Here is a 21,708-nt window from a genome sequence, read left to right as displayed (position 1 = left end):
TTCTGCATGTTGATTTTATGTTCCGCAACTTTGCTGAATTTGTTTATTCTAACAAGTTTTTTTTTCTTTTTTAAGACAGAATCCCACTCTGTTTCCCAGGCTGGAGTGCAGTGGCATGATCACAGCTCATTTTAGCCTCAATTGTCCAGGTGCAAGCAGGCCTCTCACCTGAGCCTCCTTAGCAGCTGGGACCACAGATGTATGTCACCATGCCTGTCTAATTTTTAAATTATTTGTAGAGATGAAGCTGTCTATGTTGCCTAGGCTGGTCTTCAACTCCTGGGCTCAAGCAATCCTCCTGCCTCAGCCTCCCAAAGTGCTGGGATTACAGGCATGAGCCACTGTGCCCAGCCTTATTCTAACAGTTTTTTGTGTGTGGAATCTTTAGGGTTTTGTACATACAAGATCATGTCATCTGCAAACAGGTATAATTTTACTTCTTCATTTCCAATTTAATGCCTTTTATTTATTTTTCTTGCTTAATAGCTCTGGCTAGTACATTCAGTACTATGTTGAATAGATTTGGCCAGAGTAGGCATTCTTGTCTGGTTCCTGATCTTAGAGTAAATTTTTTTTTTAATGTTGAGTATGATGTTAGCTGTTGTTGATTTTTTTATATATGACATTTATTATGTTGAGGTAATTTCCTTTTATTACTAGTTTATTGAGTGTTTTTATTATGAAAGTGTGTCAAATTTTGTCAAATGCTTTTCTACATCAATGGAGATGATCATGTGCTTTCTGTCCTTCATTCTGTTAATGTGGTGTATCCCAGTTGTTGATTTTTATATATAAAATCTTCCTTAGATGTCAGGAATAAATCCCACTTGGTCATGGAATATAATCCTTTTAAAATGCTGCTGAATTTGATTCGGTAGTATTTTGTTGAGGATTATTGAATCAATATTTATCAGCAATAATGCTCTGTTGTTTTCTTTTAGTATCTTTGTCTGGGTTTGATATCAGGATAATTCTGGCCTCATAAAAATAAATTTGGAAATATTCCCTTCAATTTTTGGAATAGTTTGAGAAAGATTGGTGTTAATTCTTTTTTAAATGTTTGGCAGAAGTCTTCAGTGAAGCCATCTGGTCATGAGTTTCTCTTTGTTGGGAGGTTTTTGATTATGTATTCAATCTGGTTACCAATTATAGGTTTGTTCAGATTTTTAATTTCTTCATATTTAATCTTGGTAGGTATATGTTATTAGGAATCTCTGCATTTTTTCTAATTTGTTGGCCTATAATCGTTCAATTGTTTCATAGCAGTCTCTTTTGATGCTTTTTATTTCTGTGGTATCAGTTGCAATGTCTCATCTTTCATTTCTGTTTTTATTGAGTGTTTTTCTTTTGTTCATTAGTCTATCTCAAAAGTATTTGTCAATTTGTTGATCTTTTCAAAAAGCTAACCCTCAGTTTTATTGATGTGTTCATTGTTTTCTACTTTCTTTTTATTTCTTCTCCAATGTGTCTTATTTCCTTCTTTTAACTTTGATTTTATTTACTTCTTTTTTTTTTTTTCATTCCTTGAGGTGTAAAGTCAGGTTGTTAATTTGAGATTTTTCTTCTTTTTGTATATAATTTATACTATTATAAATTTCCTTCTTAGGACTTCCTTTGCTGCATCCCATAGGTTTTAATATGCATTTTTGTTTTCATTTGTCATGAGGTATTTTCTACCTTCCCTTATGTATTGCTCTTTGACCTATTATTTGTTCAGGAGTCTGTTTTTAAATTTTCACGTGTTTATGATTTTCCAGTGTTTCTGCTATTGATTTCTAGTTTTATTTCACTGTAGTTGGAAAAGATACTTTCTTACATTTTTTAAAACTTGTTTTGTGGCCTAATATGTGATTTGCCCTGGAGAATGTTCTGTATGCCCTTTAGAAGGATGTGTATTCTGCTGTTTTGCTTGGAGTGTTTTGTACAAGTCTTCTAGGTCCAGTTGTTCTGCAGCATTCAAGTCCTCTGTTTCCTTATTAATCACATTCTTCTCAAGTGCATACAGAGCATTCTCCAGGTTCTCAATTTGTTGCCTAGGCTAGCCTTGAACTCTTGGGCTCAAGCAATCCTCCTGCCTCAGTCTTCCAACATGCTGAGATTATAGGTGTGAACCACTGTGTGTGGCCTGGGATTTTTTTTCTGAATTTTTTTTTTTTTTTGAGGTGGAGTCTCACTGTCACCCAGCCTTGAGTGCAGTGGCATGATCTCAGCTCACTGCAATCTCCACCTCCCAGGTTCAAGTGATTCTCTTGTCTCAGCCTCCTGAGTAGCTGGGACTATAGGTGCGCGCCAACATGCCTGAGTCATTTTTGTATTTTTAGAAGAGACAGGTTTCACCATGTTGGCCAGGCTGCTCTGGAACTCCTGACCTCAAGTGATCCTCCTGCCTCAGCCTCCCAAAGTGCTGGGATTACAGGCGTGAGCCACTGCACCTGGCCATTTTTCTGAATATTTTTGATCCACAATTGGTTGAATCCATGGATGCAGAACCCATGGATATGGAGGGCTGGCTGTATTTACTTTTACCAGAGAGCTTCATATTTCTGTATAGTTTTGTGTTGGTACGTAGCTTCCTTTTGTTTCAATGTGAAAGACTCTCTTTAGCATTTCTTGTAAGGCAGATATAGTGATGATGAAGTTTATCAGATTTTGTTTATATGTAAAGGTCTTTATTTTTCTGTCATTTTCCAAGGACATTTGTGGGATGTAGTGTTCCTGGTTGGCAGAATTTTTTTTCACTTTGAATACATAATCTCACTCCTTTCTGGCCTAGGTTTCTCCTGAGAAACCTGCTGATGATCTTATGGGAGCTCTCTTGTACTTGATGAGTTGTTTCTCTTGCTGCTTTCAAGATTCTCTCTTTGACTTTTGATAGTGATTATAATGTCTCTCACTGTGGATCTCTTTAGTTTCATCCTAGGTGGAACTCTTTGAGCTTTTAGAATTTTCTGTCTTAGATTTGGGAAGTTTTCAGCCATTTTCTTTCTTAGATTTGGGAAGTTTTCAGCCATTATTTCTCCAAATAATCTCACTGCTCCTTTTTCTCTTGATCTTCTCCTTCTGAGACGCCCATATTTCATAAATTGATCCTTTGTATGGTGTCCCATAAGTCCCTTAGACCTTCTTCCCTTTTCTTCAGGTTTTTTGTTCCTTTGATGTGATAATTTCAAATGAATGTTTTCAAGTTTACTGACTTCTTTTTTCGGCTTGATCTAGTCTGCTGAAGTCCTCTAGCAAGTTTTTCAATTCAGTTATTGTATTTTTTAGCTCCAGAATTTCAGCTTGATTCTTTTAAAGAGTTTCTATCTCTGTTGATATTCTCATTTTGCTCATGCCTCATTTTTCTAATTTTTGTTAGTTTTCTGTGTTGTCTTGGATTTCATTGAGCTTTTAAAGACAATTATTTTGCATTTTTAGTCTAGAAATTCATAGATCTCTATTTCTTTATGATCAGTTTCTGGAGATTTACTTTGGTTCTTTAATTGGGCAATGTTTTCCTGTTTCTTCCTATGCCTTGTATTTTTTTTTTTCCTGTAATTTTGGCATTTGAAAAAACAACCACCTCTCCCAGTCTTTATGGACTGGCTTTATACAGGGAAAGACCTTCACCAATAAACCAGGCTAGAGATACTGGGGCCCTTTCAACCCTCTTCTGGCTATACATTTTCTCTGGGCTTGTGCATATAATTTCATAATTAAAGAGGTTTGCTTATTCCTTTTTCAGGAGCTTGTTTTCTCTTGCTTTCTCTGGTATCTGTTTGAAGTGCTGCAGGTTCTTTGGCACTGCAACAAGCTGCCAAGGTCACTTTTGTTCTCTGCAACCCAAGGAAATTTGCCATTAACCCATCAATGATTTAGTTCAGGCGAGGCAAACCAATCCTTTTCTGGAAGCCCCCTGAAAGGCTAGAATGGTAGACATATTAGGTGGTATAAAATAACAGTGGTTTTTGCCATGGAAAGTAATGGCACCAACCTAATATATTCCATTCTTTTTTCCTTTCAAGAGAGAAGCTATGATTTCGTCATTTTCTCCTAATCATGCCAAGCTGTGCTGACTTAGGGGAGGGGCTACCATAGGTAAACACAATGGCTTTTCGGACCTGTTTCAATGTGACTGTACTTGGCTTTGTGCTTTCCTGGGGTACTGTAACTTCTTAACTTGTTCCTGGAGTTCTCATAAGGCTTTTTGGACTATATACTGTTAAGTCAGTTTCTCCTTGGAGGAATAAAGCCTGGGGCTTCCTATTCTGCCATCTTACTAAGGTCATTCCAGATACTATAAATTTTAAACCGGAATTCCACTCTAATAAATCCACGATGATTTGCTTTACCAAACCCCTGTTGTTGGAGATTTAGGTTGTTTTTAGTTACTCCTTATTTTAATCAGTTGTGGTAAATAATCTTTTAAAATTTATTAATGTTTATAAATTTATAAATTATATGAGACAACCAGAGATATTAAAATACAAAATAGTTTTGTGCTTTCGAAAAGGGAAATATAGTCAATTCTGATAAATACTTTAAAAATTTTAGGGTAGAATATTGATCAATTAGGTGATTTTTATTATAATGCTTTTAAAAGGAAGGATTTAGCATTTATTTAAAAAGAAGAATGCCCTAGTTTTATTCCTTTTCAGAGACTATTGCTAGATTAGAAGAATAGAAAAACACTATAAACATGATACATCTTGATATTAGTAGAGCATCTGAAAATCGCTCTCATGACACTGCTATGGGCAGGTGAGACATGGGAGTGGTCATTGCACCTTTAAGTATAATTCACAGCTGGTTGATCAAAGAGCCTTGGTTAATGTATTGATGTTGATCTGGAGAATAGTGTGGTGCTTAACAAAATATCAGCATATTTATCAGCTTTTTAGATGATACATAACTGACAGAGACCAGAGATAATGAAATTAATATTAAAAATGTCCTTGATGGGCATAAATATTAATTTAAAACTAAAAGGTTCCAATTAATCATGGATAAATGTACATGCCTATATTTTAGCTTATGGAAAATCAAGTGCAGAACTATAGAAGGCAAGTGAGCTGGCTTGGAGGTAGCTTTTTTCAAGAATGTGGGTTAACTGCAAGCTCAATATGAGCCATCAGTATGCTATACTTTCTTAAAAAGGTAACGAAATCATGGTCAACATAAACAGAAGAGCAACCCAGTCTCCCTGCATGCCATCAAGTCTCCTCTGGAGTGGTGCATGCTATTATTGGTCTCATCCTTGTTTAGTTGGACTGTGACAAAACAGAATAATCTGACAGATAACTTAAAAAATGGTTCATTGAGTTATATCAATGTTATATAAGGAGGGGTTGAAATAACTGAGGGTGTTCATTCTGGGGTAAAGAAGACTAAAAAGGGTTAAGATAATTCTCTCCAGATAGTTGTTGAAGTGTGTGTGATTTTTTCTGCATTCCTCTAGATGATAGGCCTAGAGGTTCACTAAGTGGAATTTATGAGGAAAAGGATTTTAGAGATAGTTTGTTCTAATCATTACACTTCTGACTACTGGGGGGTCATCTTTATACCAAACTATCTATTGCTTAAGTGAGCTCACTGGTATATGAAGTAGGGAGCAGTAGTGTGGCAGGATGGAAAGACTGGTCTTTGAAGTCAGTTAAACCTGGGTTCAAATCCTTGATGATCTTGTAAAATTTTCTGAACCTTTATGGACTTTGATTTTCTCAGCTAAAAAGAGGAGACAACAATGTTTATCTTAAGATGTTATTATCAAAATGACAAATGTTAAGTTTCTGGCACATAGAAGTTCCTTCAACAATTATAGGCATTATTAGCTAGGATGTTGTAAAGAACATTCTCACTTCATCTGAATGTAGGATGGTTAGGTTGGTTAACTTCTAAGCTTCTTCAAACACTAAAATTTGGTTCTGAAATTGTAACCACTACTCAAAAAATAACTCATAGATATCACCTAAATTGGCAGAGTAGTGAATTCCAGGGCTTTGTCCCTCCACAAAAAATAATATTAGCTGCAAAAAATGGAGAGTATCAACTTTCACAGAACTCACAAATAAAAAGTTAAAGCAATCAGGGGAAATCTTTAGGAAGAAAGAAGCTGCCATAGCACTGTGTTAAGATAGCACTGTGGCATTTTGTTTCCCACTTGCCATTCCTTACTTACAGATAGCCGGTGTCTATGAAAATGGCAGCCTGTACTCCTGGTGCAGGTTGCTAGTGCCAGAGGGGGAGATACGGACTTATTTCAAAGAATGATTGGTTGTGGATTTATCTCTCTTGTGGAAACCTCAAAGACGGGTGCAAGGGCTTGTCTTTGTTTTACCAGAGTCAGAGAATTCCCAAGAATGTGATGGCTTAACATTTTTCATTTCTGAATAAACGAAGTGCAGAATTTGGCCACATGGGTCAAGTGATAATTGTTGACACAAAAGATAGAGAAACAAACAAACAAAAGCCTTGGAAGAAAAAGGTTGAAAGGAAATACAAAGAGGAATAAAAACATTTAAATGCAATCACATGTACTGAGGAATAGAGAAGGGCATGTACATGCTCACAACTGGATGTGTGCTTGGAGAAGGCTTAGAACTACCCTAAGGTTTTATCTGTGGCTGACTTTCAGGCTCTTTACAAAAAGGAAGTGAAGACTAAAGCAGAGGTGAAAGTGGCCTGGCTAAGCATTAAAGTGATATGCCAACCCTGAACCAATCCAGTGTCTTGGAGAGTCTCTTTCTTTTTCTTTTCTTTCCTTCCTTTTTGTATTAGTTCCAGTCATTTAAGGCACTCTCTTTAAAAACACAGTCTGAACTCTAAGTTATAAAACACATACTTCAGTGGCTGCACATGGCAAATAATATAAAATTTACTTTTAAAAGTTTAGAAAAGTCACTAACCAAACAACAAGTCACAACAAGAGAAATAATGAATAGCATGGAGGAAGGAGAATCTGATGTCCAAGTTGAGATGTTATAATATTCAAAAAATTCTCTTTTCAGCAAAAATACATGATGCCTTCAAGAAACAAGAAATATGATTCGTTCCCAATGAAAGAGAAGTTAATACAAATTGTCATTGAGGAAGCCCACGCATTGGCCTCAGTAGATAAAAACTTTAAAACAGCTGCATAAAACATGCTCAAAGAGCCAAAGGAAACCATGGACAAAGAACTAAATATCTCACCAAGTAGGATATTTCAATAAAGAGAAAGAAATCATAAAAAGGAGCCAAACAGAAATAATGAAGATGAAAAGTAAAATAACTGAAATGAAGATTCATTAGGGGGATTCAACAGCAGATTTGATCAGGCAAAAGAAAGATCCAGTGAACTTGAAGATGCGTCAATTGACATAATCCAGTTTGAGAAGCAGAAATAGAAAATAATGAAAAATTGAACAGAGTCTATGAGACCTGTGAGGAACAAAACAAACAAATATAGACTTCCTGGGAGTCACAGAGAAAGAGGAATAGTAGAGAGTAAAAAGACAAAAAAAGAATATTTAAAAAAAATAAAGGACAGAAACTCAACAAATTTGATGAAGCACAGGAATCTATACATCCAAGAAGCATAACGACCTTGAAACAGGATAATTCAAAGAGACCTACAAATAAGTGTTAAGTTGTCATCAGTTTAAAATAATGGTTTATAATATAGTATTGGCAAGCCTCATGGTAACCTTAAATCAAAAAACATGCCACAGATATACAAAAAATAATAATCAAGAAATTAAAACATACCACCTGAGAAAATTACCTTCGTTAAAGGGGAGGCAGGAAGGAAAGAAAGAAGGAAGAGAAGATGGCAAAATAATCAGAAAACAAATAACAAAATGGCAAGAGCTAGTCCTCACTTATCAATAATAACATCGAATGATAAAGGACTAAAACAAAAGACACAGAATGGCTGAATGTATGAAAAAACAAGACCCAATGACCTGCTGCCTACAAGAAACTGACTTCACTTGTAAGGATATACATAGACTGAAAGTAAAGGGATGGAAAAAGCAACTCCATCCCAATGGAAACCAAAAAGGAGCAGGAGTCACCATTCTTACATCAGACAAATAGATTTTAAGACAAAAACTGTAAGTTGAGACAAAGAAGGTCGTTATATAATGGTAAAGGGGTAAATTCAGCAAGAGGATATAATGATTGTAAGGATACATGCACCCAACACTGCAGCACCCAGATATATACAGCAAATATTATTACAGCTTAAGTGAGAAGTAGACCCCAATAGTATAATAGCTGGAGACTTCAACACCCCACTTTCAGGATTCGAGAGATGTCCCAGACATAAATTCAACAAAGAAACTTCAGACTTAATCTGCATTATAGAACAAATGGACCTAATAGATATTTACAGAACATTTTATTTAATGGCTGCAGAATACACCTTATTCCCCTTACCACATGGATCATTCTTAAGAATAGACTATATGCTATATCACAAAACAAGTCTTAAAACATTAAAAAAATTGAAATAATATCAAGCATTTTCTCTGACCACAATGGAATAAAACTAGGAATATAACAAGAGGAATTTTGGAAACTATACAAACATACAGAAATTAAACAATATGCTCCTGAATGACCAGTCAATGAAGAAATTAAGAAGGAAATTGAAAAACTTTTTGAAACAAACTATAATGGAAACACAGCATACCAAAACCTATGGGATACAGTGAAAGCAGTACTGAGAGACTAAGAGGGAATTTTATAGCTATAAATGCCTACATCAAAAAAGAGAAAAAACTTCAAACAAACAATCTAAGGATGCATCTTGAACTAGAAAAGCAAGAGGAAACCAAACTGAAAATTAATAGTAGAAAAGAAATAATAAAGATCCGAGCAGAAATAAATAAAATTGAAATAAAAAATACAAAAGAGCAACAAAACAAAAGGTAGTTTTTCAAAAGATAAACAAAATTGATGAACCTCTAGACAAACTAAGAAAAAAAGGAGAGAAGACCCCACTAAATAAAATCAGAGATGAAAAAGCAGACCTTAAAACTGATATCACAGAAATTCCAAGGATCTTTAGTGGCCACTATGAAACACTTTATGCCAGTAAATCGGGAAATCTGGAAGAAATGGGAAAACTTGTAGATACATACAACCTACCCAGATTTTTTTTATTTTTTATTTTTTGGAGACAGGGTCTGGCTCTGACGCCCAGGCTGGAGTGCAGTGGCATGCATGATCTTGGCTCACTGTGAGCTCTGCCTCCTGGGTTCACGCCATTCTCCTGCCTCAGCCTCTTGAGTAGCTGGGACTACAGGCGCCCGCCACCGCGCCTGGCTAACTTTTTATATTTTTAGTATAGACGGGGTTTCACTGTGTTAGCCAGGATTGTGTCGATCTCCTGACCTCGTGATTCGCCTGCCTCCGCCTCCCAAAGTGCTGGGATTACAGGCGTGAGCCACCGTGCCCAGACGCTACCCAGATTTAACCATGAAGAAATCTGATATATGAACAGACCAGCAACCAGTAATGAGATTGAAACCAAAATAAAAAGTCTCCCAGTAAAGAAAAGCCCAGGACACAATGGCTTCAGTGCTGTATTCTACCAAATGTCTAAAGAAGAGCTAACACCAATGCTACTCAAACTGTTTTGAAAAACAGAGGAGGCAGGAATACCTTCAAACTCATTCTATGAGGCCAATATTACCCTGATATGAAAACCCAGCAAAGACACATCATAAAGAAAAGATCACTATAGGCCAATATCTCTGATGAATATTGATGCAAAAATTCTCAACAAAATACTAGCAAACCAAATTCAACAGTACATTAAAAATATTATTCGGGTGGAGCCAAGATGGCCAAATAGGATCAGCTTCAGTCTACAGCTCCCAGCGTGAGCGATGCGGAAGACGTGTGATTTCTGCATTTCCGACTGAGGTACTGGGTTCATCTCATTGGGGATTGTCGGACAGTGGGTGCAGCGCACTGAGCATATGCCAAAGCAGGGCGAGGCATCGCCTTACCCAGGAAGTGCAAGGGGTCAGGGAATTTCGTTGCCTAGCCAAGGAAAGGGGTGACAGACGGCACCTGGAAAATCAGGTCACTCCCACCCTAATACTGCACTTTTCCGACGGTCTTAGCAAACGGCACACCAGGAGATTGTAACCCACGCCTGGCTCAGAGGGTCCTACGCCCACGGAGCCTTGCTCATTGCTAGCACAGCAGTCTGAGATCAAACTGCAAGGCCACAGCGAGGCTGGTAGAGGGGCGCCCGCCATTCCTGAGGCTCGAGTAGGTAAATAAAGCGGCCGGGAAACTTGAACTGCCTGGAGCCCATGATAGCTCAAGGAGGCCTGCCTGCCTGTGTAGACTCCACCTCTGGGGGCAGGGCATAGCCAAACAAAGGGCAGTAGAAACCTCTGCAGAGTTAAACCTCCCTGTCTGACAGCTTTGAGAGAGTAGTTGTTCTCCCAGCATGCAGCTTGAGATCTGAGAATGGACAGACTGCCTCCTCAAGTGGGTCCCTGACTCCCAAGTAGCCTCACTGGGAGGCACCCTCCAGCAGGGGCAGACTGACACCTCACACGGCCGGGTACTCCTCTGAGACAAAACTTCCAGAGGAACGATCAGGCAGCAACATTTGCTGTTCACCAATATCCGCTGTTCTGCAGCCTCCCCTGCTGATACCCAGGCAAACAGGGTCTGGAGTGGACATCCAGCAAAGTCCAACATACCTGCAGGTGAGGGTCCCGACTGTTAGAAGGAAAACTAACAAATAGAAAGGACATCCACACTAAAACCCCATCTGTACGTCACCATCATCAAAGACCAAAGGTAGATAAAACCACAAAGATGGGGAAGAAACAGAGTAGAAAAACGGAAAATTATAAAAATCAGAGCGCCTCTCCTCCTCCAAAGGAACAGAGCTCCTCACCAGCAATGGAACAAAGCTGGACAGAGAATGACTTTGACGAGTTGAGAGAAGGCTTCAGATGATCAAACTACTCTGAGCTAAAGGAGGAAGTTCTAACTAATGGCAAAGAAGTTAAAAATCTTGAAAAAAGATTGGACACATAATTGTCAGATTCACCAAAGTCTAAATGAAGGAAAAAATGTTAAGGGCAGCCAGAGAGAAAGGTGGGGTTACCCACAAAGGGAAGCCCATCAGACTAACAGTGGATCTCTCGGCAGAAATTCTATAAGCCAGAAGATACTGGGGGCCAATATTCAACATTCTTTTTTTTTGTTTTTTTTTTTTTGTTTTTTTTTTGAGACGGAGTCTCGCTCTGTCGCCCAGGCTGGAGTGCAGTGGCGCGATCTCGGCTCACTGCAAGCTCCGCCTCCCGGGTTCACGCCATTCTCCTGCCTCAGCCTCCCGAGTAGCTGGGACTACAGGCGCCCGCTACCACGCCCGGCTAATTTTTTGTATTTTTAGTAGAGACGGGGTTTCACCTTGTTAGCCAGGATGGTCTCGATCTCCTGACCTCGTGATCCACCCGCCTCGGCCTCCCAAAGTGCTGGGATTACAGGCGTGAGCCACCGCGCCCGGCCAACATTCTTAATAAAAAGAATTTTCCACCCAGAATTTCATATCCAGCCAAACTAAGCTTCATAAGTGAAGGAGAAAGAAAATCCTTTACAGACAAGCAAATGCTGAGAGATTTTGTCACCACCAACCCTGCCATAAAAGAGCTCCTGAAGGAAGCACTAAACATGGAAAGGAACAACTGGTACCAGCCACTGCAAAAACATGCCAAATTGTAAAGACCATCGAGGCTAGGAAGAAACTGCATCCACTAACGAGCAAAATAACCAGCTAACATCATAATGACAGGATCAAATTCACACATAACAATATTAACCTTAAATGTAAATGGGCTAAATGCTCCAATTAAAAGACAGAGACTGGCAAATTCGATAAAGAGTCAAGACCCATCAGTGTGCTGTATTCAGGAAACACATTTCACGTGCAGAGGCACACATAAGCTCAAAATAAAGGGATGGAGGAAGATCTACCAAGCAAATGGAAAACAAATAAAGGCATGGGTTGCAATCCTAGTCTCTGATAAAACAGAGTTTAAACCAACAAAGATCAAAAGAGACAAAGAAGGCCATTACATAATGGTAAAGGGATCAATTCAACAAGAAGAGCTAACTATCCAAAATATATATGCACCCAATATAGGAGCACCCAGATTCATACAGCAAGTCCCTAGAGACCTACAAAGAGACTTAGATTCTCACACAATAATAATGGGAGACTTTAACACCCCAGTGTCAACATTAGACAGATCAACGAGGCAGAAAGTTAACAAGGATATCCAGGAATTGAACTCGGCTCTGCACCAAGCAGACCTAAGAGACATCTACAGAACTCTCCACCCCAAATCAACAGTATATACATTCTTTTCAGCAGCACACCACACCTATTCCAAAATTGACCACATAGTTGGAAGCAAAGCACTCCTCAGCAAATGTAAAAGAACAGAAATTATAACAAACTGTCTCTCAGACCACAGTGCAATCAAACTAGAACTCAGGATTAAGAAACTCCCTCAGAACCGCTCAACTACATGGAAACTGAACAACCTGCTCCTGAATGACTACTGGGTATGTAACGAAATGAAGGCAGAAATAAAGCAAGACCAAACACATTCAAAAGCTAGCAGACGGCAAGAAATAACTAAGATCAGAGCAGAATTGAAGGAGATAGAGACACAAAAAACCCTTCAAAAAATCAATGAATCTAGGAGCTGCTTTTTGAAAAAAAAAACAAAATTGATAGACCGCTAGCAAGACAAATAAGAAAAGAGAGAAGAATCAAATAGACGTACTAAAAAATGATAAAGGGGATATCACCACCAATCCCACAGAAATACAAACTGCCATCAGAGAATACTATAAACACCTCTATGCAAATAAACTAGAAAATCTAGAAGAAATGGATAAATTCCTGGACACACACACCCTCCGAAGACTAAACCAGGAAGAAGTTGAATCTCTGAATAACAGGCTCTGAAATTCAGGCAATAATTAATAGCTTACCAATCAAAAAAAGTCCAGGACCAGATGGATTCACAGCCGAATTCTACCAGAGGTACAAGGAGGAGCTGGTTCCATTCCTTCTGAAACTATTCCAATCAATAGAAAAAGAGGGACTCCTCCCTAACTCATTTTATGAGGCCACATCATCCTGATACCAAAGCCGGGGAGAGACACAACAAAAAAAGATAATTTTAAATAAATATCCCTGATGAACATTGATGAAAAAATCCTCAATAAAATACTGGCAAACCGAATCCAGCATCACATCAAAAAGCTTATTCACCATGATCAAGTGGGCTTCATCCCTGGGATGCAAGGCTGGTTCAACATACGCAAATCAATAACCATAATGCATTATATAAAAGAACCAATGACAAAAACCCCATGATTATCTCAACAGATGCAGAAAAGGCCTTTGACAAAATTCAACAATCCTTCATGCTAAAAACTCTCAATAAATTAGGTATTGATGGGACGTATCTCAAAATAATAAGAGGTATCTATGACAAACCCACAGCCAATATCATACTGAGTGGGCAAAAACTGGAAGCATTCCCTTTGAAAACTGGCCCATGACAGTGATGCCCTCTCTCACCACTCCTATTCAACATAGTGTTGGAAGTTCTTGCCAGGACAATCAGGCAGGAGAAGGAAATAAAGGGTATTCAATTAGGAAAAGAGGAAGTCAAATTGTCCCTGTTTGCAGATGACATGATTGTATATCTAGAAAACCCCATTGTCTCTGCCCAAAATCTCCTTAAGCTGGTAAGCAACTTCAGCAAAGTCTCAGGATACAAAATCAATGCGTAAAAATCACAAGCATTGTTATACACCAATAACAGACCAATAGAGAGCCAAATCATGAGTGAACTCCCATTCACAATTGCTTCAAAGAGAATAAAATACCTAGGAATCCAACTTACAAGGGATGTAAAGGACCTCTTCAAGGAGAACTACAAACCACTGCTGAATGAAATAAAAGAGGACAGAAACAAATGGAAGGACATTCCATGCTCATGGATTGGAAGAATCAATATCGTGAAAATGGCCATATTGCCCAAGGTAATTTATAGATTCAATGCCATCTCCATCAAGCTACCAATGACTTTCTTCACAGAATTGGAAAAAACTACTTTAAAGTTCATATGGAACCAAAAAAGAGCCTGCATTGCCAAGTCAATCTTAAGCCAAAAGAACAAAGCTGGAGGCATCACGCTTTCTGACTTCAAGGTATGCTACAAGGCTACAGTAACCAAAACAGCATGGTACTGGTACCAAAACAGAGATATAGACCAATGGAACAGAACAGAGCCCTCAGACGTAATGCCACATATGTACAACTATGTGATCTTTGACAAACCTGACAAAAACACGTGATGGGGAAAGGATTCCCTATTTAATAAATGGTGCTGGGAAAACTGGGTAGCCATATGTAGAAAGCTGAAACTGGATCCCTTCCTTATACCTTATACAAAAATTAATTCAAGATGGATTGAAGACTTACATGTTAGACCTAAAACCATAAAAACCCTAGAAGAAAACCTAGGCAATACCATTCAGGACATAGGCATGGGCAAGGACTTCATGTCTAAAACACCAAAAGCAATGGCAATAAAAGCCAAAATTGACAAATGAGATCTAATTAAACTAAAGAGCTTCTGTCCAGCAAAAAGAACTACCGTCAGAGTGAACAGGCGACCTACAGAATGGGAGAAAATTTTTGCAATCTACTCATCTGACAAAGGGCTAATATCCAGAATCTACAATGAACTCAAACAAATTTACAAGAAAAAAACAAACAACCCCATCAATAAGTGGGTGAAGGAGATGAACAGACACTTCTCAAAAGAAGACATTTATGCAGCCAAAAGACACATGAAAAAATGCTCATCATCATTGGCCATCAGAGAAATGCAAATCAAAACCTCAATGAGATGGTATCAGTGAGATACCATCTCACACCAGTTAGAATGGTGATCATTAAAAAGTCAGGAAACAACAGGTGCTGGAGAGGATGTGGAGAAATAGGAACACTTTTACACTGTTGGTGGGACTGTAAACTAGTTCAACTATTGTGGAAGTCAGTGTGGCGATTCCTCAGGGATCTAGGACTAGAAATACCATTTGACCCAGCCATCCCATTACTGGGTATATACCCAAAGGACTTTAAATCATGCTGCTATAAGGCACATGCACATGTATGTTTATTGCGGCACAATTCACAATAGCAAAGACTTGGAACTAACCCAAATGTCCAACAATGATAGACTGGATTAAGAAAATATGGCACATATACACCATGGAATACTATGCAGCCATAAAAAGGATGAGTTCATGTCCTTTGTGGGGACATGGATGAAGCTGGAAACCATTATTCTCAGCAAACTATTTTAAGGACAAAAAACCAAACACTGCATGTTCTCACTCATAGGTGGGAATTGAACAATGAGAACACATGGACACAGGAAGGGGAACATCACACACTGGGGCCTGTTGTAGGGTGGGGGGAGTGGGGAGGAATAGCATTAGGAGATATACCTAATGTAAATGGTGAGTTAATGGGTGCAGCACACTAACATGGCACATGTATACATATGTAACAAAGCTGCACGTTGTGCACATGTACCCTAAAACTTAAAGTATAACAACAAAAAAATTATTCATTATGACTATGTAGGATTTATCTCCAGCTTATTCGGCTATGCAAAAAATTTTTGAGTAATACCCCACCAACACAGGCAATGAAAGACAAAATGGAGAAATGAGAGCTCACCAAGTTAAAAAGCTTCTTTCACAGCAAAGGAAACAATCAACAAAGTGAAGATACACCTCACAGAATGGGAGAAAATATTTGCAAACTACCCATCTGATAAGGGATTAATAACCAGAATATATGAAGAATGGAAACAACTGTATAGGAAAAAATCTAATAATCTGATTAAACCATGGGCAAAAGATTTGAATAGATATTTCTCAAAAGGAGACATACAAGTGACAAACAGGCATCTGAAATGGTGCTCAATGTCATTGTTCATCATAGAAATGCAAATAAAAATTACAATGGGATATCATCTAACCCCAGTTAAAAATGGCATATATTCAAAAGAGGCTATAACAAATGCTGATGAGGATGTGGAGAAAGGGAACCCTCATACACTGTTTGTTGGAATCTACAATTAGCACAAACACTATGGAAAACAGTTTTGAGGTTCCTCATAAAACTAAATATGGACCTATCAGGTGACCCAGGGATCCCGCTGCTGGTATATACCCAAGAGAAAGAAAATCAGTATACCAAAGAGATATCTGTACTCCTGTGTTTGTTGCGGCACTGTTTATAACTGCTAACATTTGGAAGCAACCTAAGTGTTGCTTAGGTTGCCTAAGTGTCAATCAACAGATGACTGGATAAAGAAAATGTGGTGCATATACACAATGGTATACTATCCTGCCATAAAAAATAATGAGATTTTTTTCATTTGCAACATTATGAATGGAACTGGAGGTCATCATGTTAAGTGAAATAAGCCAGGCATGGAAAGACAGTTCTCACGTGTTCTCACTTACTTGTGGGATCTAAAAGTCAAAACAATTGAGCTAATGGAGATAGAGAATAGAATGTTAATTACCAGAGGCTGGGAAGGGTAGTGGGAATCTCAGGGATGTATGGTTAATTAATGGGTACAGAAAAAGTTAGAAAGAATGAATAAGGCCTAGTATTTGATAGCACCACAGAGGAACTAAAGTCAATAATAATTTAAGTGTACTTTGAAAAATTACTAAAATAGTATATAATTGAATTGTTTGTAACACAAAGGGTTAATGCTTGAGGTGATGGATACCCCATTTTCCATTATGTGATTATTATGCATTGCATTGCTGTACCAAAATATCTTATGTACCCCAATATATACACGTAGTATGTATTAGCAAAAATTAAAAGAAAAAATTTTATAAGAATATATTTACACCAAGACACACTGTCATAAAACTCTTGAAACACAACGTGAGAATCTTGAAAGTAGCACAAGAAGCAACTTTTCATATGCAAAGGATAAGTTGTTTAGTGGTACATAAATACAATTAGATAGAAGGGATGAGTTCTAGTATTCAATAGTACAGCAGGGAAATTACATTTAACAATAATTTGTCATATATTTCAGAATAGCTGGATAAGAAGAAGTGTAATATTCCCAACAGAAGGAAAAGATAAATGTTTGAGGTGATGGGTATCCTATTTACTCTGATTTTATTATTACACATTGTATACATGTATCAAAATATCACATGTACCCACAAAATACATGCAACTATGATATATCAATATAAAATGCAAAAGACAGGGAAAAAGCTGATTTCTTATTAGAATTGTGGAGGCCAAAAGAGAGTGGGATGACATATTTAAAGTGCTGGAAGAAAAAAAATCAAGAATTGTGTATCTGCAAAACTGTCCTTCTAAAATAAAGGAGAAATTAAATTGTTTTTGATAAACAAAGACGGAGGGAGTTTGTCACTAGTAGGCCTCCCTTAAGGGGTATGCTAAAGGAATTCATTCAGGTTGAAATGAAAGGAACTCAAGGCCATAAAAAGGAATAAAAAATAATGGTAATGGTAGTTGCATAGGTAAACGTAACAGCCGGTCGTCTTAGATTTTAGGTTTATAACTCCTCCTTTTTTTCCTAGATGATTTGAAATATGAGTGCATGATGGGCACACAATGTATAACAATATAATTTGTGATAATACCAAATGGGAGAGAGGTATTAAAGAGGATTTTTAAGATGCTATTGAAACTATGTTGATATTAATTCGAGTATTTTAAAGTGAAGAAGTTAGTTGTAATTCCCAGAGTAACCACTAAAACAACCCCTTAAAGATATATAGAGAGGAAATGAATAGAGAATCAAGAGAAACGAAGAGAGATAAAGAGTGTATTGAAACTATTAATCAAACGAAAGAGGGTAATTGTTTAGGAATTGAGCAGCAAAATAGTTATAACACATATAAAAATCAAAAAGTAAAATGGCAAAAGTAAGTCCTCTTTTTAAATCAGTAAGTATTTTCAATGTGAATGTATTAAAGTCTCCAATCAAAAGGCAGAGATTGGCACAATGGATTATAAATATGATTTAACTATATGCTGGCTATAATAGACACTTTAGATCCAAAGACAAAAATAAATTCAAAGTAAAAGAATGGGAAAAGGCATTCTATGCAAATACTAAAAAGGACACCTGGGGTGGCTGGACTAGTACTAGATGGAATAATAGGATTTTATATAGAAAGTGGTATAAGTGACAAGGAAGGATATTATATATTTTATTTTGTTTTTCTTTTTTTATTTCTGTTTTAACTGAGACATAATTGTACATATTTATGAGGTACAGTGTAATGTTTCAATACATGTATATGTGGTGTGCTAATCAAATCAGAGTATTTAGCACTTCCATCATCTCATACATTTATCATATCTTTGTGGAGGGAATATTCAAAATAGTTTCTTCTAGCTATTTTGAAATATACAATACAATGTTGTTAATCATAGTCACCCTACTGTGCAATAGAACACCCAAACGTATTTCTCCTATCTAAGTGTAACTTTGTAACCCTTGATTTATCCCTACCTATTTTGCTCTCCACTCCCCCATCTCCAGCCTCTGGTAACCACTACTGTACTCTCTAGTTCTATGAGTTCAACTTTATTTAGATTCCACATATGAGTGAGATCATGCAGTATTTGTCTTTCTGTTCTGGGCGTATTTCACTTAACATAATAACCTCTAGGTTCATTCATGTTGCTGCAAATGGCAGGATTGTATTATTTTAAAATACTATTAAATAATAGTATTGCATTGTGTATGTATACCACATTTTATTTATGCATTCATCCTTTGATGGACGCTTAGCTTGATTTCATCTTGGCTATTATGAATAGTGCAGCAATAAACATAGGAGTGCAGATATCTCTTCAACATACTGATTTCTTTTTCTTTGGATATATATTCAATAGTGAGACTGCTAGATCATATGGTAGTTCTATTTTTAATGTTTTTGAGAAATCTCCATAGTATTTTCCATAATGTCTATACTAATTTACATTCCCATCAACAGTATGTAAGTGTTCCCTTCCTTTACATCCATGCCAGTGTTTGTTATGTATTCTTTTCTTTGTATTAGCCATTCTAATTGTGATGAGGTAACATCTCATTGTAGTTTACACTTGCATTTACCTGATGATTAGTGATATTGAGCATTTTTCATTTTATTGTTGGACATTTGTATGTCTTCTTTGGAGAAATATTTATTCAGGTCTTTTTGACCATTTTTAATTAGTTTCTTTTTTACTATTGAGTTGTTCATGTTCCTTGTATATGCTAGATATTAACCCCTTTTCAGATGCACAGTTTGCAAATATTTTTCCCGTTCTGTAGATTTTGTCTTCACTTTATTGTTTCCTTTGCTGTGCAGAATTTTGTGAGTTTGTTGTAATCCAATTTGTCTGTTTTTACTTTTGTCGCCTGTACTTTGAGTTCTTATTTTAAAAAATCCTTGTCCATATTATTGTCATGAAGTGCTTCCCTTATGCTTTCTTCTATTAGTTTTATTGATTTAAGGCTTACATTTAAGTCTTCAAACCATTTGGAGTTGATTTTTGTTTATGGTGAGAAATGCAGGTCTAGCTTTGTTCTTCTGCATATAGCTATCCAGTTTTCCCAGTACCATTTATTGAAGACATATCGAAGACATAGTCCATTCCCCAAACTGTGTTCTTGCCATTTTTGTCAAAAATTGTTTTGTGGGTAAGTGTGTGGATTTATTTCTGGGATCTCTATTTTGTTCCATTATTCTATATGTCTGTTTTAATTTCAGTACCATGATATTTTCGTTACTATAGATTTGTAGTACATTTTTAAGTCAGTGTATTAGTCCATTTTTCACACTGCTATATATCTTCTATGATCACAGTAGAAATGAAATGGCAGGAAGAAAACTGGAAAATTCACAAACGTGGAAATTGAACAACACACTCAAACAACAAATGAGTCAAATAAGAAATTACAAGTTAAATTATATGGTACTTTGAGATTAATGCAAATTAAAACACAATATACTAAAACTTATAGAATATTTCAAAAGCAATCGTCAGATGGAAACTTATAGCTTTAAATGACTATATTCAAAAAGAAAAGGTTGGGTGCTGTGGCTCACGCCTGTAATCCCAGCACTTTGGGAGGCTGAGGCGGGTGGATCACGAGGTTAGGAGCTCAAGATCAGCCTGGCCAACATAGTGAAACCCCGTCTCTACTAAAAATATAAAAATTTGCCAGGCATGGTGGCGAGCGCCTGTAGTCCCAGCTACTTGGGAGGCCAAGGCAGGAGAATTGCTTGAATCTGGGATTTGGAGATTGCGGTGAGCGGAGATCATGCCACTGCATTCCAGGCTGGGCAATACAGCAAGACTCTGTCTCAAAAAAAAAAGAAAAAAGAAGAAGAAACATTCCACATTGAGAATATATCTGTGCTCCCTGAGGAACTGCAAAGAACACCAAGCTAAACCAAAAGATAGAAAAAGGAAGGAAGGAAGAAAGATTAGAATGGAGATATGTAAAATTTAAAATACTGAATCAGTGCAGTTGAAAGTTGAGTCTTTGAATATATTAACAAAATTGAGAAATCTTTAGGTAGACTGATCAAGAAGAAAAGAGAGAAGACTCAAATTGATAAATTCAGAAATTAAAGTGGGAGCATTACTGCAGAACTCATAGAGAGAAGATTATAAGAGAATACTATGAACATTCATATGCAAATGAATGAAATTAGTTAGATAAAATGGACAAATTCCCAGAAATTCAAAAACGACCTCAACTTCCTTAAGAAGAAATAGAAAATCTTAACAGACCTATAAATCTTTTTATAAAGATTGAATATGTATGAAGTCCATAAAAAGACTGAAGACATATGAAATCCAACTACCCTGAGACCACCATGCTAGAAGGACTGCATGTAGGCACCCTGATTGACAGTTCTAGCTGAACACAGACTTTAAAGCATCCCTGCCAAGGTGACAGATATGTGAGTGAAGTCTTCTTAGACCCTCCAGACCAGCCTATTTGCCAACTGAATCCCACCAGATGACTTCAGTTGACACCACATGGAGTAGAAGAATCACCTAGCTGAGTCCTGCTTGAATTTGTGACCCTCAAAATTTTGAGATGTATTTTTTTAAAGGGTACTGTTTTAAGCTAATGAATTTTAGTGGTAATTTCTTATGCAGCAATAGATAACCAAAACAGTGGAGTTTGAAATAGTATGTTTCAGACTTCTAAAGGTGAAACTATTTATTATTTTTACTTTTGATTGAAAAAACAACAAATTATATATCTTTATGGTGTACAATGTGATGTTTTTACATAGGTATACATTGTGGAATGATTAAATAAAGCTAATTAACATATCAATCGCCTCACATACTTATCAGTTTGGTAATGAGAACATTTAAAATCTACTCTCTTAGCAATTTTCAATTACATTACACTTTATTATTAATTATAGGAATGAACTTTTCAGTAAACTTTTTATTCAAAATTCAATATTAAAAAAATCCACCTTCCAAGATCAGACGAGATCAGGCGCGTTCAGGATGGTATGGCCGTAGACATTTTATATATAATATATATGCATATATTTTATGCTGTTCAAAAATAAGTG

The sequence above is a fragment of the Homo sapiens genome, chromosome X, assembly GCF_000001405.40.
Source record: "Homo sapiens chromosome X, GRCh38.p14 Primary Assembly".
NCBI lineage: Eukaryota > Metazoa > Chordata > Mammalia > Primates > Hominidae > Homo > Homo sapiens.
This window is presented reverse-complemented; position numbering follows the sequence as displayed.